Raw genomic sequence first — 17,977 nt, 5'->3', positions numbered from 1 at the left:
GCTCAGACTTGAGATCAAGTCTTGCAATGAAAATTCTATTTAATCTTAATCAAGTCATGGACTTCGTCTGGACCTTGGGTATACCTAAGAAAAAAAAGGATAAAACCACTTCCTTTAACTAATTTGATATTAATATGAGAATACAAATTTTGTGCTATATGTGTTAAAGAGATATTAAGACAGCCATCTCTGCTTCTCATTAGCAAGGATATAACTACAACTTTGGCTAAATGGGCTACCTTCAAGAAAGAGCCTCATAATAGGCCAGGCACGGTGGCTCATGCCTGTAATCCCAGCACTTTGGGAGGCCAAGGTGGGCAGATCACTTGAGGTCAGGAGTTCAAGATCAGCCTGGCCAACATGGTGAAACCCCATCTCTACTAAAAATACAAAAATTAGCTAGGCGTGATGGTGCACATCTGTAGTCCCAGCTACTCAGGAAGCTGAAGCAGGAGAATCGCTTGAACCCAGGAAGCGGAGGTTGCAGTGAACTGAGATCGCGCCTGTGCACCCCAGCCTGGGTGACAGAGCGAGATTCTGACAAAAGAAAAAAAAAAAAGAAAGAAAAGAAAAGAAAAGGAAGGAAAAAGAAAGAGCCATATAATAGAGGTAAACCATTCTCTCAGGACTGCTATGATAAGAATGTATGCCAAAGTGCTTTGTAAACAGTAACACACCATGCAAATACAAGGTATTATTGTAATTATAATAATTATTTTAAATTCTAATTCTAATTATTATTATGATTATTATAATTACCATACATGAATTATTCTTAACTGGGTGGGTGGATACATAGTTAGAGAAATGGATGGTCAGGCATTTTCAAAGTCACATAAAAGCATATGCCCTACCATCTAATTAATAGAGATTGCAAAAAGATCTTCTCTATGACTTTTGGCATGGAGAAATCTAAGAGAAACAAGCTCTCTATACACCCACATTATACATGAGTTGAACTGTGGTAATGGTCTGTAAAATGTCAATAATTTAAGTGAATGGTACAGAGCATTTTAATAAATATTAAGTTATTTGGTATTTACAACGTAATGAATTAGTTAAGAATGGTTCCATTATTCAATTTGGCAGATATGAAGACTAAGCTAATGAAGGTTAAGAAATTCACTACTAACCACAAGGTTTCAGAGAAATAAGGAATAAAATAATCTAAGTTTTTTTTTGTTTCAAAAAGCAAAGTTCTTTCAAAGGCAACCTATCCTATAGTAGGAGAGAAACTATTTGCAAACCATCTATCTGATAAGGAATTAATCTCCAAAACATATAGGAAACTCCCTATAACTCAATAGCAAAAAAAGAAAAAAACAAAAAAACAAAACAAAAAAAGAGCCCAAACGACTCAATTTTTTTTAATGGGCAAAGGATTTAAATAGATATTTCTCCAAAGAACACAAAAATGACCAACACATATGTGAAAATGTGTTCAACATCACTAATTATCAGGAAAATGAAACTCAAAACCACAAAGAGATATCACCTCATACTTATTAGGATGGTCATTATTTTTAAAATTAATCAATTAAAAACAACAACAAAAAAAAAAGTGGTAGCAAGAATGTATAGAAATTGAAACCCCTGTGCCCTGTTGGTAGAAATGTAAAATAGTACAGTCTACTGAAAATAGTATAGATGTTTCTTTAAAAATTAAAAATGGAGCTATCATATGATCCAGCAATTCTATTTCTACATACTTATCCAAAACAAATTGAAAACAGGATTTTGAAAGATAATTGTACTCCCACATTCAATGTAGTGTTATTTACAATAATGAATAGGTGAAGACAACTTAAATGTCAATCGATAAATGAATGGATAAAGAAAATGTGAGCTATATCTATATATTACATATTATATATGTGTATAATATATAATATATGTTATATATTGTATATATAATACATATATACAATGAAATATTATTCAGCCATAAAAAAGGAACTCCTATCCTATGATACAATACAAATGCACTTTGAGGACGCAATGCTAAGTGAAATAAGCCAATCACAGAAGAACAAACACTGCGTCATTCCACTTATATGAGGACTTTCAAGTAGCCAAACTCATTGAAGCAGAAAGCATAATGGTGATTGCCAGGGGCTGAGAGGGAAGGGGAAATGAAGAGTTGCTGCTCAGTGAGAATAAAATTTGTCACATAAGATAAAAAAATTATCTAGAGATGCTCTATACAACATTGTGCTTAGTTAAAAATACATTTGTGGTTAGTAATAACAACACTGTACTGTTCATGTAAAAATGTGTTCAGAGTGCAGATCTCACGTTATGTGGGGTTTTTTTTTACCATAATAATAATAAAATTTAAAAACCAGGGCTCTCTCCACTGCTGCTGTACTTATTAAGATTAATTACCCATAGTTTGTTATGTCTTGTGTTATAGCACAATGCCTATCTTGGCAAAAAAATTTTAAAAACAAGAAACTATTCTTATTAGCAGTCTAGAGCCATATATTATAATTGTGATGTTTTCAGAAATAAAATCATTAAACAGCAACACAGAAGAAAACATATCGAGAGAGGCTAAGTGAGCTCCCATTTTGCAAATGAGAAGCCTGGTTTAGTGAGGCATTATAACACATTAATAAGTAATAATTGAGCTTCCATTCCTAGATCAACATTTAGCTTAAAGAAGTTGTTTGAAACCAGGTTTTATATCAAAACCACCTGGGAATGTTTTTTAAAAATCTCACTTAGATCTGGATTCTTAAAACAAGAGGTCAAATGCACAGAAATAGAGAATAAAACAATAGTTATCAGAGGTGGAGTGGGGAGGAAATGGGGAGATGTAAGTCAAAGGATACAAACTAGCAGATATGTAGGATGAACCAGTCTAGAGACCTAAGGTACAACATGAGGACTATATTAATAATATTGTATTGAATTAGGGATTTTTGTTTTAAAAAGTTGATTCTAGCTGCTCTTGTCAAAAAAAAAGTATGTGAGATGATAAATACGTTAATTTGCTTCACTATATTGATCATTTTAATATCTATATGTATCCCATATATCATGTTGTAAACCTCAAATATGCCCATTAAAATGTATTTTTTTAAAAAATGAATGCCCAAGTCCTAGCACAGCTTCTGAATCTGGAATCTCTGGGGGTAGGGCCAAGGATTTACGTTTTAAAAAGCTTCTTTGGTGATTCTAATGCACATAACCTTCTAACTTGTTTCACCCATTGAGTTAACCTAAAACCTTGGTTTATATCTAGTATATTTTATCTAATGAAAAACAAAAGGTGCTTTAGTACAGCCGATGGTCAGTGTAAATCGATTTTGATACAGCCTACCTAAAAGGATAAGGAAGGATTATCTCACACGAATATCATTTCTTTCTTTCTTTCGAGACAGAGTTTCGCTCTTGTCACCCAGGCCGGAGTGCAATGGCGTGATCTTGGCTCACTGTAACCTCTGCCTCCCAGGTTCAAGCAATTCTCCTGCCTCAGCCTCCTGAGTAGCTGGGATTACAGGTGCCTGCCACCATTCCCTGCTAATTGTTGTATTTTTAGTAGAGATGAGGTTTTGCCATGTTGGCCAGTCTGGTCTCAAACTCCTGACCTCAGGTGATCCACCCACCTAGGCCTCCCAAAGTGCTGGGATTACAGGCATGAGCCACTGTGCCCGGCCATGAATATCATTTCTTTTTTGAATATAACTGGTTAATGATGAAGCTCATCAATGGCTGAATATTAATTCTCTGTGAAATATCTATGAATGCCTTATCTGTAAGGATTTTCTCTACCTATACAGCCCAAAAATAGTTTTTCTCAAGTTAAGATCTAAATACCTCATGCTTCTTGGAATGGAAGATTAATCTTTTTCACTGCAATGTTTGCCTCATCACATTGGATTCACAAGTAGCCGCCTGGGAAAAAAAAAAAAAAAAAACTGGCCGTGCCCGGTGGCTTACGCCTGTAATCCCAGCACTTTGGGAGGCTGAGGTGGGCAGATCACGAGGTCAGGAGATCGAGACCATCCTGGCTAACACGGTGAAACCCCATCTCTATTAAAAATACAAAAAATTACCCAGGCGTGGTGGCGGGCGCCTGTAGTCCCAGCTACTCGGGAGGCTGAGGCAGGAGAATGGCGTGAACCTGGGAGGCAGAGTTTGCAGTGAGCTGAGATCGCGCCTCTGCACTCCAGCCTGGGCAACAGAGTGAGACTCCATCTCAAAAAAAAAAAAAAAAAAAAAAAAAAAAAACAAGACTTTTCAGCAAGGCTGGCCCTTCCCACTGTACTGAAAAGGTAAGTCACAGAGATCATGGCACAGCGGTTGTTTCTGCTCTCACCATGAGAATACAAGGAAAGGAAATACCAAAGCCTGTTAGGTTAAATGCAAATCATCAAAACTTTATTATGAAGAAAAAAATGTCATTCTTTTCATCTTTGCTCTGTACTACATATCCATGATCTCCTGAAGTCCCTTTGGTGTTGTCTTCTCTGTTTTGATGCTAAAGGAGATGGCTCACAGCCACGGAGCCAGTAAGCAGTGGACTGCAACTCAAACACAGACCCTGTGACCCCAAAGCTTGGGTTCTCTTGACCACTGTGCTGTAGTGGGGCCAGGAGCAAAATGCCTCAAGCATTGCCTCTGCCCCCAAAGAGCTAAGGGTTCAACTGAGAGACCGGGCATGGACACAGGAAAAGTGTCCTATTTTAAAAGTCATGAAAATATTAAAAATATATATTTTACCATCTATTTGTTATTGATCACTGCTCCTAAGTTTTGTTACATTATAAACAGAAGTATTAGAAATGCTAGTATACAGAAAACCAAACACCGCATGTTCTCACTTATAAGTGGGAGCTGGACAATGAGAACACACAGACACACGGCGGGGAACACCACACACTGGGGCCTGTCACAGGGTAAGCGGGTGGTGGGAGGGAGAGCATCAGGAAAAATAGCTAATGAATGCTAGGCCTAATACCTAGGTGATGGGTTGATAGGTGCAGCAAACCACTATGGCACATGTTTACCTATTAACAAATCCTGCACTTTACCCCAGAACTTAAAATGAAATTTTTTTAAAAAATTTTAAAAAAAGAAAAGTTAGTATAGTTTTCTTGAATCTGGGCTCTAGCATCTAATAGCCTGATTTGAACTGTGACTCTTTTACCACTAACTACAGATCTAAATGCTTTCTGCCAAAGCCTTTAGGGCTAGATGTGTTTCCAAATACAGGATTTGGAGATGGGGTGTGCAAGGGCAGGGTGAGGAAATTAATATCCAAATATTACACAGCATACTGCTAACCCTAGTAAGGTCTGGAGCAGTGCTCCATAATTAAACACATAAATATTTCTACAGTAAAACATATGAATATTAACATTAAATGAGATAAATAATTATAAATAGTCTGATGTCAAGCTAGGACAAGCTTTGCCACAAAATCAGTTTAGGTCAGATCAGGTTTTGCTGCCAAACACACTCAAAAAAAAATTCCACTTCAAAGCCTTGTGGATTTGAGTAACTATGAAGCTGTAGCTTTTGGCCATGAGAGAATTAACTAATTTCTGTGTATTTCCATTTCCTCATTTGTAGAATGGTGAAACATATGTGCATACCATACATAATCCATACTTCATTTGCATTGAATGAATTAGTGCAAGTAAATCACTTAGAGTAATATATAGCTCATAGTAAATACTTAATACTACCAAGTATTGTCATTTTTATCACCTCTTTTGTGCCTTCCGTTTCTGGCATTTCATGATTTTTAAATAATTAAAAAATATTTAAATAAAATTTAAGGTTCCAGTACGAGAGATTTCTTGATGTATGATCTTACACAGTAATTGCCATAAGAATTCTACAGAACTAAATTGCTGGAAATGGCTCATAATAGAAAGATGAGCACTCCAGGATGGGGTGACCAAGAGCATTTCACAGAAGAACTGGGAATTAAGGTAACATTTTGTTCTTTGTTTTTTTTCTTCTTGTTTTAATTATACTTTAAGTTCTGAGATACATGTGCAGAATGTGCAGGTTTGTTACACAGGTATACATATGCCATGGTGCCTTGCTGCACCCAACCAGCCATCATCTAGGTTTTAAGCCCCGCATGCATTAGTTATTTGTCAAGCAAGTGAGGTTTTGACAGCTGAAAAGGAAGGGAATGCCATCAGTTAAGAAGTGAAAAAAGAAAAGGTTATAGAATCAGTCTTGGCTTTGAGTATAGCTCCAGAACTTACAAGCTATGTGAGCTTAGACGAGCCATTTAACCTCCTTGAGTCATATTTTCTTCTGTTTATAGATATGGGAGTAATAATATCTATCTTTCAAAATTATTGGGAGGCTTGGAAGCTATACACATTAAGCACACAGAACAATGGCTAGTATGTCCTCCATAATACTAGCCATTAGAGGCATATAAGCACACTTCAAGTTGACAGTAGGAATGCTTTCTTACAGCCATTACTTCTCACACCAGGATGGCCTATATTGCAAGGTATTGAGTTTCCATAACCATTGTTTTTTGAGAACCAGCTATCTTACTTGTTTGAGGAAAGGATTACCGCTTTGGGAGGTGACAAGAAAGGTGCCACCCACACCCATCTCTTCCAATGCTGAGACTTTATTCTCAGAGATTAATGAATTATTTTGGAGTTTATTTTAGTTCAAGTTTTCCTTATAATGTCAGAAATTCTAGAACCTGATAGTTTGTGGTCTAGCTCAGGCAAGGTTGGGAACAAAGAGGGAAAGTTACATAGGTGGTGTGAATCCAGCTATGGATATCTGTGAAAGCCAGAAGAGAATTTGGTCCCTAAGGGAAATAAAAGTGACATACAGTTTTAGTTACCTTTGACTCTTCAGGTCCTCTATAGCATTATTTGAAGATAGTTCTTGTCTTTCTACAGCAATAAAATTATGTTTTTCTTGTTTGTCTTTTGCTGCCCCTCTTCTCAGTTTTCCTTCCTTTCTCTTCCTCTGCTCTTCTTCATTTCCCTGCCACTGTCATTTTATCATATATATATATATATAAACATTCAACATTATCATCATCCAAAAGTGGTTTTTAAGGGGCCTAATGCTATGAGTTAGGAGAAGCAATATGGCAACTTCTCCTTCCCTGTGTATCCAAATGTCCTCTCAACTCCTTGAAGGAAATGCACCAAAAGAAACCAAGCTATTATTATCACCAACTGCCATAGAATACAGAGCACATTACTGGTGCCAAATAAATAATTCTGCTTGGCAAGTCAATAGAGCAAAAGTGTGACCAGCCTGCAGCCTTGTTGGGACACAGATTACATTGAAATAGAGCTTTGGAAGGAGCCATATATCAAAATAATGGATTATGACGTCAATACGGGATTCATGTCCTTTCAGGTGGGTGGTTTTAAATAATTCACAATTCATGGGGACATTGTTGGAAATAAGTATCCAGTCTCTCCCTTAAATTGTCCAGATTTGGATTGGCTAAGTTTAACTGGGCACATCATTACCAATACTTACAGTGATGGGATCTTTTGCTCACTTAGCTATTGTCATCTTCTGCTAATATAAAATTTGTCATAGTTTGAAAGTGGGAGCCAATATTTGCAATGTCCAATATTGATATTTATAAATTAATTTATTACTGGTATTTACTGAACACTATTTTGCACCTATGTGAGAGGACCTGCACTGAGGACTAAATGTGCATTGCTTGATTTAAATATACAATGATCCTACCAAGTTGATATTATTGTGTTCATTCTATTACTGAGAAAACTGAGGCTCCACAATATTAATAAAATTTCCTAAGGCCATACAACTGGTAATTGGTGGAACATGATCATTCTGACTTCAGTGTAACTTCAGTCACACCACTATTCTAAAATGCCTCCTGTATAAAGTTTATAAACAAATTAGTACTTTAAGATATTCAGGGGAAATGCTTAAGAAACCTCAGAGAAAATTATTTTTCAAACATTATCATGTAAGTTAGAAAAAGACACTTATATTTTTAATTATACGTTAATTTCATATCAGTCCCATCAGTTACTTAAATGAAATTAACCACGGATATCCACCAGGCAACACTGAGACTTGTTTAAGTGGGTAATACAAAACAACAAATCTCTCTATTTTTTAATTTGGGCTAGTCTTCTCGTTTAGTATGAAGGTCCTCTAAGAAGATTTAGAGAAGGGAGAGTCCTACAATTACATATATGACATGCACTGGCTTAGCAAACTCCACATTTCCAATGGAATGTATCCCAATTTTTATTTAGCCAGCTCCAGAGTTATAAGTCTCAACTATTTCTTACTCATGTTTCTGGACATACCAGATGTAAATAAAGATGATTCATATCCAGTTCTCCAACTTTCTATGAAGCGAATGACTGAGGACTAGAAAATGGTTTATTTTTCACGAGTGTAGCGCTCATACCTGCTTATTCTATAATTAGGAAGATGGTTACATCATGACAAAATTGTCGTTTTAACAAAAGGCATTTTTTGCTTAATGTAAGAGTTGCTTAGTGACAGAATTAAGATCAAGTTTCTCTCTCTTCTCAGATCTGCCACCAAATGGCTAACTTTAGGCAGGTTTCTTTTCTTCCTCTAGGTCTCTAAGTATCTTTCTAATTCCCTTTCGTTCCCTTCTAATTTGAACAGTTGAGATGATTCATATATGTTTGTAAATAAATATTGAAATAACAATCACATAAAGAATAAACATAACTAACTTCCAACTTGCTATCAGCTGCAACATCTCAGGGAGACCAGGCTTCTTCTTTGTCTGACACAGTTCAGTACCACGGACAGCAGCAGAACCACGTCTGGGACTGAAAGGACTTGGGATGAATTTATTAGCCTATGCCCGGCTTTAACTTGGAGAATGGTCTAGAGTTCCATGGTCTCTTTTTCAGAGATTAAGAATGGCAATATCTAACATATAAGTACTGGCATGGACTTGAAGATCGTCTATCAAACTCCATAACAATAGCATCCCTTCAAGGAAATGTTTGAAGCTTTAAATTAAGAAAGAAATGGGTATTCTAGGCTTCCTGGCAGGGCCACTGACAGTCAGTAGAGTTTGTATAGTCCCAATGAGTTGATACAACCTACAATCCACTATATTTATATATGGAAGGTCAGGCTCTCATTCCTCTCCTAGAGCAAATATCTGAGAAAGTTGCTTCAGCTTCACTTTTGATCTGGCCTAGTTTAGTAAATGAATCAGCAGCTTTTCAAAGGCTACAGAAAAGCAGCTTCAATTTAAATTGTCCTCCATCCATCCATACCAGTCCCTGTTCAATGAGCCTAGCTCCCTAGGCTGAGGAGGCTTTGCAGAAAGTCTGACCTGATGAAACTTACAGCTCAAATTTCCAATCTTCATTGCTTAGCCCTCATTTCTCAATGAGCAATCAATTTCAGTCAGTTACAACTGGCTCATCCCCAGAAGCTAGGATGGCTAAAGCTGAAACAGGCTTTATCAGGGTAAAATGAAAATGGAAGATTGAGTTCACAGAACCTACCTTGGTGAAGTTAGGTTGCCACCGTTTGACGCTTTTAAGTCACTACTGATCAGACATGGAATAATTGGCTTTAATAGTAGTTTGCAGCCCTGGCATTGTTGAAACTTACTTATGAAGAGGGAAAATTTAAAAAAATTATATCAAATACAAATATGGAACTTTTAAATTCTTACATGGAGAAAGGGTAACTTTCTTCAAAATAACCCAACTCCTACTTGCATTCTTGTATACATGCATGCATGCATTTATTCACTCATTCAACATATATCCACCATGCCAAACATTGTGCCAAGGAGAAGGAATAGTTAAAGAATCAGATTCTGGCCTCAAAAAGCTTACAGTCTACAAGTAAAGATGGATGAATAAACGTATTAAAGTATAATGACAGCAATTTTCCTTTAACCCTTCACATCCAGTTTGCCTGATGGGCAAATCTAACAGATATCACTTTAAAATATGACTTGAATTATTACTCTTCTTTCCATTTCCACTACGAATACAACGGTCCAAACTTCCATAATCTCTTGTCTGGACTACTGTAAAATCTCCTAGTATGTGTCCCTGACTTTGCTATCATCCCAATCCACAAATAGCAAGAATGAGTTACTGGCCTTTTAAAAATATGTATTAAACAATGTCACTTTGATGCTTAAAATGAGTGGATTCCTGATGAACTTAGAATCAAACAGCCTACAATGTCCTAGACAACTGCACTCATATCAATCTCATCTTCCTGACCCTTCCACTGGCCCACCTGGCTCCAGCTACACTGACTTTCCTTTGATTTCTCATTGTCTTCAATCTTTGCATGACTCTCTCCTCCTTGTCATATAGTCTTCAACTTAAATGTCCCAGTCTCTGAGGTGTGTTTCTTGTCCATATTATCTGTAGTCACTCTCTCGGTGCTCCCTACCACATCATTGTGCTTAATTCTCTTCAGGGAATTTACCTAATATCTTTTTTTAATATTATTTGTATATTGTCACTCTTCATAATCAGAGGAACCTTGTCTCCATTTCTTTTGCAGTGCTAGTACCTAGCAAATAGAATGGCAACACAAAACTTCATGCAGACAGAGAGTATGTCTATTTTGTTTCAGCTGATCCCCTGTGGCAATACTGTGGCATTTGTGGATTGCAGGTGCACCAAACTATTAGCTGAATGAAGTTTCTAAGAAAAATCCCTCATCTAAGACAATGAGTGAGACTCATGAAAGGCTTTTTATGTGGCATGGGCTCCTCATCTAAGATGATGGATCAATGAGATGGGCAAAATATCTTGTTCAGGATAGGTTCAAGGAGAATAATGATGGAGTAGAATCAGACATGTCTGTATTTTCTTTTAATAATAAAAATAAATAGATGGGTCTTTGTGGGGCATCAGACAAAATAACAAGAACAACACTAGGTAACTCATTGAGAATCATGGTATTTTGTAAGAAAAGAGCAAAGATTCTATCTTCAAATTACTCCCTCTGTCATGTATAAATTTGCATTATGTTTCATATATATAAACATATGTGAATACACGGGTGTTTGTGTTCAATCAAAAAAGTGGATGTCTACACGTGTAGGCAAAAATAACTTACCAATACAAATTTCTGAAAATTTCCCATCACTCAAGCCAAATATGTATTTCTTCAACTTGTCTTGGTATCTACAATGCCCATACTATTCATGACTCCTAGTTATCACATTGAAATCCCTCTTCTGACATTAAAAAGTTGTATAGAAGGTTCATACAAATTATTCTTACCTTTGCACAAAACTTTTAATTTTACAAAGCACTGACAAATGTATCACCGCCTTTTTTTCTCACAGAGACTATCATTCCCACTTTACAGATGAAGAAATTGAGATCTAGCAGAGATTAAACACTTGTGCAAAGTATAACAGCTGACTCATAACAATTTTAAGATCAAAACCTGGTTCTTTTGGCTCAAAGGAGAGATCAGAGCATAGGACTCCATAGCGGTAACTTTTGATAATGAAATAGTAGCAGGACCCTGGAAGCTGAAGCACTATGAGAAGGTTTGGCAGCAAAAAAGAAGGTTCTATATGTTCAGGCAGTGATCTCGGTGGGGAGTAAGTTTGCCTAAATCCAGGTAAAGGGCTTCCAGTGGTCATTTCCTGTACAGGGCAGCTGACCTCCCAGTTATTCCTTCACCACTGGGATTAATCCATCACCAAACTCAGAGCCATTTTCCAAGTTATTAATGATTTGTGAGCAGTGCTGCCTCAGCAAGAACCCAGCAAGGTGACTGCTAAAAACTAGGAGAGGACAAAAGAAAATGAGATAGGCAATGAGACAGCCAGCCAGGGGAACTCAAGACAGACAGAGCAGCAGAGAAACATCACAATAGAGATGACAGGGACTGACATTTCAACTGGAACAGAGAGCAAGTGAGCACATAGGACCAATGAGCAACTCACAATCATAATTCACCAATTCGTCTGTTGCTCAACAGTCACTGCAGGAGAGAATCCCTAATCTAGGACTTGAAATTTGGCCATTTATTTCCAAACTGTGATGGTAGCTTTCAATGGATTATGAAGTCAGAAATCCACTTACCTAAAATTCAGTTGAAAACTACCTTTGAAGTCCATGCTGTAGGTAGAGTCAGTCTACTACTCTAGACTGATCTCTAGGTTGAAATCAGGCAGTGTGCTCTAGATTTGCCCTGTGCTTTAACTCTAGCCATCTACTCAGCCCTGAGCATGACCACAAACTATACTGCACTCCCATTCGAAGAATAAAGTCTGACCCCAGCTACAAATAACCAGACTTACTCCTGAAACAAGACAAGACTAGCATCTAACCCTGGGCACAGACTTAGCCTTAACTCCAGCCAATGGTGGGCCTTAATCCTGACCATAGAGTAAGGCCATTCATTAATTCATTATTCAACAAGTATTGAAGTGTCTACTACTTGACAGGCTCTCTGCTAGGATACAGTAACTAGCAAAACATCCATGTGAGACAAACAAATAAAGGGTGAATTAATTATAATTTTTATGTATATTTACTGTGATGATTTAATTCCAAACATAAACTGACTCCAAACCTCAGCCACAAATTTACTTATGACCTCTAGGCACAGACTAAGCCAGACCTGAGAGTATCTACGTCATCTAAAAATTTGGTTGACTTACAGGAAGAGCTTCTTAAAACCATGTCAGACAATACTGAGATTAGGTGCCCAGTAAAGGTCTGACAAGCTGCAAAAGCAATCATTCAGTGTGTGGTGATGAGGAGAAAAGCCAATAACATTTCCCACAGTACTGAAACAGGCACAGACAAACACATAGAAACACACTCTAGTTTAGAAGCATCGCCCAGGGGTAGATGATAAAGTTTGCTGTGTACACATTAGTTACTGGAGCAATACAGAAAAAAAAAAGATGGAGACAGAAGATGGAGAGAACTATAGGACCTAGAGTAATGCTTGAAAAACTGTCCAGGAGTGAAGTGAGATTTGAAGGGTCAAGACATTTGAAGGAGTAGACACATAGAGAGTTCAGCACATCAAACTTGAAACATGGAATGGTCACACTGTGTTTCAGAGATGAGATGGGCAACTTTGGCTAGAAAATTCTTTGGGAACAGGTAGGGAATCAAAGAGTGAGTAGGACCATTTTATGGCCAGACCTTAAACAACAGGCAGAGACTCCCAAGAGCAAGAAAATATGCTTATACATTCAGTTCAGTTTGAAAACATTTACTAAGGTTCAGCTATGAGCACATTATGCATTTTTGTGTATCCAAAACTGAGTTTTTATATTGTAACATTGCTCAATTAATGTGGAAAGAACAAGAAAAAGAAGGAAGAAAAAGAAAAGAAAAAGGCAAGAGAAAAAGAAGAAAAGATTTTGTTAACCATTCTCCTCCATCAATGAAGCCCATGATAGTACCAGCAAGAACTTGGAAAACTCTCTAAAAATGGATCTCCTTGATTAAACCACCTTGAACTAGTCTAATTAAGCCTATGGAATTGGGGGATGGAAACCCTGGTGGTGAGGAATTAAATTGTGGGATAAGGTTTCTTTACCATTGAATTAAATCCCCCAGGGTTTAAAAACCAGAGAAAAGTCACTTAATAGATTTTCCCAGATTCCTTTAACTCCAAGAAAGTAAACCTGACTATTGTTCCCCTGTCACCTGGCTTTGCCAAAGAGTCAAGATATAGGAGAAGGAAAGAAAAGGATAAAAAAAGAGGAACTAATTCATGGCAATTGTGGTTAATCCCACTCAAAGCCTCAATCCATGTTAGCAGCTAATCCAGTTAGTACAGCTTTCATGGGAAGCTTTAATAAATCCATCAGCCTCTTGCTGGAATGACAGGCCCCTTAACAACTCAGCATTCATGAAGTGATCCATCATTAATGCAGCAGATCTGGCACTTGTCAGACCTTAAACATCAGCAGGTTTGCCCTAACCAAGGCCCTATTCAAGGTCAGAGTCTTCCCAGACATCTCCAACCCTTACTGAATCTCACCTACTATAGTACTTCATAGTTTTAAATCACCTAACCTACCTCTTAAGTTTGTAAGTTTGCATTTCTCAAGTCTTTTTTGAATGGATGATTAAACTGTTACTCCTAACCAAATTGCAAAATTCTTGAGATTAAAACTTGTTTTCTTATTTTATTTTAAAAATTTTCCCCATTGGTTATTGGGGTACAGGTGGTGTTTGCTTACTTGGCATCTCAAGATTCTTTAATTTGCCATTCATTTTATAGGGGTTCCTGAAGTGGTAAGAAAATCTTTTTTTTAAAATTATTATTATACTTTAATTTCTGGGATACATGTGCAAAATGTGCAGGTTTGTTACATAGGTACACACGTGCCATGGTGGTTTGCCACACTCATCAAACTGTCATCTATATTAGGTATTTCTCCTAACGCTATCCCTCCCCTAGCCCCCTGCCCCATGACAGGCCCTGGTGTGTGATGTTCCCCTCCCTGTGTCCATGTATTCTTATTGTTCAACTCCCACTTATGAGTGAGAACATGCAGTGTTTGGTTTTCTGTTCCTGTGTTAGTTTGCTGAGAATGATGGTTTCCAGCTTCGTCTATGTCCCCGCAAAAAACATGAACTCATACTTTTTTATGGCTGCATAGTATTCTTTGGTGTATATGTGCCACATTTTCTTTATCCAGCCTATCATTGATGGGCATTTTGGTTGGTTCCAAGTATTTGCTATGTGGATGTGTCTTTATAATAGAATGATTTATAATCCTTTGGGTATATTCCCAGTAATGGGATTGCTGGGTCAAATGGTATTTCTGGTTCTAGATCCTTGAGGAATTGCCGCACTGTCTTCCACGATGGCTGAACTAATTTACACTCCCACCAACAGGGTAAAAGTGTTCCTATGTCTCCACATCCTCTCCAGCATCTGTTGTTTCCTGACTTTTTAATGATCTCCATTCTAACTGGCGTGAGATGGCATCTCATTGTGGTTTCGATTTGCATTTCTCTAATGACCAGCGATGATGAGCTTTTTTCATATGTTTGTTGGCCGCATAAATGTCTTGCTTTACATTTCTATGGACCATCCCCAGAAGTGGCCTAGAACAGGGCTCAGTGCAGTACAGAAGCTCAGAAACTATCTGCTTTATTGGCTTACTAATAACATCAACCTCTTATCTACCAAGGCTCAACACATATACCAAAGAAATGGAATTTAGGTCCTGGTTTCTCTACTCTCTCCTAGGTTACCCTGATGTGCTTTGTTGCTATCTTGGGACTCTGGTTATTTTATCTTGTAAATGGAAATCCAAATTATTCACTAATTCTATATTACTCCTAGGCAAAATTGTGCGGATCAAATTCAACTCTAATATTTCCAATCTATTTTTAACATTTTTATTGTGGTAAAATACATACAACATAAAATTTGCCATTTAACCATCTTTCAGTACACAATTCTGTGGCATAATTCCATTCACAATGTTATGCCACCACCACCATTAGCCATTTCCAGAACTTTTTTATCATTCCAAACAGAAACTCTGTACTCATTAAACAATAACTCTTCATTTTCTCATGCCCAACCCCCATCCCCAAGTCCCTGGTAGCCCCTATCTACTTTCTGTCTCTATGATTTGCCTATTTCAGGTATCTCATATAAGTGGAATATTAAATTATTTATCCTTGCTGTCTAGCTGATTTCACTTAGCATAATGTCCTCAAGGGTTATCTACGTTGTAGATGTATCATAATTTCATTCATTTTATGGCTGAATAACATTTCATTGTATGATGCATATACACCAAATTTTGCTCATTCATTCACCTGTTGATGGGCATTTGGATTGTTTCTACCTCCTGGCTATTGTGAATAATGCTTCTATGAACACTGGTGCACAAGTGTCTGTTTGACTCCTTGCTTTTAATTCTTTGTGGTACATGCCTAGGATTGAGATTGCTAGATTATATGTTTATATAGCTTTATATTTAGCCTTTTGAGGAACCACTAAACTGTTCTTTACAATGGCTGCACCATTTTACATTCTCACCAGCAATGCATAAGATTTCCAGTTTCTCTGCATCCTTATCAACAATTATTAGTTTGTTTTTGTTTTGATAATGGCCATCCTAATGGGCATGAAATGATATCCCACTGTGGTTTTGATTTATATTTCCCTAATAGTTGGTGATAGTGAGCATATTTTCATGTGCTTGTTGACCATCTGTACAACTTCTTTGGAGAAATGTCTGTTCACGTCCTTTGCCCATTTTATTTTAATTTGGTGGTTGTTTTGTAATTGCCTTGTAGGAATTCTTTATATATTCTAGCTATTAACCAGATATTATCTGATATTATCAGACATTTGGTTTGCAAATATTTTCTCCCATTCTGTGGGTTGTCTTTGTAGTCTTTTTAAAAAATTATCTATTTTAATCGGCAAATAAAAATTGTATATATTTATGCCCCTTATCTTTGTCTCTTTTCTATGTGGCCCTTTTTCCCTCTCACAGATCTCATATATCCATTGTAGTCACACTATTTTCAGAGTATCCAGGAAGCCCCAAATAGTCTTCCTAATAGCATAAGTGCCCACAGTTATTCTCTTTAATCATCATCATTATCATCATCATCATCATCATCAATAGCTGCTATCTTTTGAGCTTACAGTGTGTCAAATACTCTGCTAGAAACTTTAGCTATGTCCTCTCAGATTTTATTTATAGCAAGTAAAAAGTTGATGCTATCCTTATCCCCATTTGACAGATGAGGAAACTGAAATTCAAATTAATAATATGATAGAGCTCTCATATACTGAAAGATTTCCTCATTAGTGTTTACCCATTGAAGCTGTCATATGAGAAAGGATTGTATCAATTAATTCAAATTTTAAATGAGGCACCTCTAACAAACCTATCTATTTTGTTAAAGACCATGCATTTAACCAATAGCATCCCTTTTATGTTGGAAGCTTCAGGCAAGAATCAGGGATATTTTAGGGTAGTTTGTACACACCAAATACTTCTGGGTAGTTAGTTGCTTGTTTTGCTCATAAGCAAGGGCAATTCTTATACAGATCTTCAGAATACCTAACAGGTAAACAAAAGAAGAGTCCTCTTTGACAAATTCAGCCAGAGGGCTACCCTCCAGTGAAAAAACACTGAGCAGGGGAGGATGCTTGGAAAGTTATCCTGGACTTACCTCTACCTGTCTGACTTCAGTCACTTCAGCTATTCCCTGGATACCAGCATTTAGCTATTATGAACTAAATTGTGCTTTCCAAAAATTTACATGTTGGAACCCTAGGCCTCAATGTGATAGTATTTAGAGATGGGGCCTTTGGAAGTAACTAAGTTTAATGAAGTCATGAGTGTGGGGTCCTGATGCAATGGGATCAATGTTCTTGTAAAAGAGGAAGCAGGGAAACACCATGTGAGACTATAGTGAGACAGTGGCCATTTGCAAGCCAGAAGGAGAGCTCTCACAAGAAACCGAATCAGCCAGAACATCGATCTTGGATTTCTAGGCTTTAGAACTGTGAGAAAATGAATTTCTGCTAAGCCATGTAGTCTGCAGTATTTTGCAATGGCAGCCCAAGCTAACTAACGTATAGTTATGCAATCTTGAAGGTCTTTTCCTTCCTTCTATGACTTATTTTTCTATTAGATGACTGTGTAATGCCATTCTGCTTGTGGATTACATAATGCTGCCTCATCTTCTTGGGAAGCAGTCCTACCTCTGATGAAATGACTGAACACAGCCTGGTAAGTGAAGTCAGGAAGGCACCAAGTCTTCAAGCTATGCATATGTTGTATGAACAATGACATAAATAAAATACCTGGGTCATTGCAGTAATTTCTCTTTTTGGCTATTACCCAGACAAACAAAATAAACAGCATGTGCCTGACATCAACACATCGAGTTTTCTCCCAAGATCACATGACTTTTCTATTCTCTACCCTGAATTACTATAATGCCAATACTAGAGATTTGTGGCTAAAATT

General features: G+C 37.2%; 1 long non-coding RNA gene across 1 annotated transcript in view, besides 1 other annotated feature; it reads right to left on the bottom strand.

The window, feature by feature from the left end:
- LINC01933 (long intergenic non-protein coding RNA 1933) overlaps window positions 1–17,977 on the bottom strand; it is a 311,552-nt gene that overhangs the window by 15,052 nt on the left and 278,523 nt on the right. The gene's annotated exons all lie outside the window — the stretch shown is intronic.
- Window positions 8,683–8,883: a silencer, noted in NCBI's record as "peak5547 fragment used in MPRA reporter construct". NCBI's record gives its function as "represses an SCP1 promoter by STARR-seq MPRAs in K562 erythroleukemia cells {active_cell/tissue: K562}" and the evidence as "EXISTENCE:reporter gene assay evidence [ECO:0000049][PMID:32103011]".

The sequence above is a fragment of the Homo sapiens genome, chromosome 5 (genome assembly GCF_000001405.40).
Source record: "Homo sapiens chromosome 5, GRCh38.p14 Primary Assembly".
NCBI classification, from domain to species: domain Eukaryota; kingdom Metazoa; phylum Chordata; class Mammalia; order Primates; family Hominidae; genus Homo; species Homo sapiens.
The sequence above is the reverse complement of the archived record's forward strand: the minus strand, read 5'-3'. Positions and strand labels throughout refer to the sequence as shown.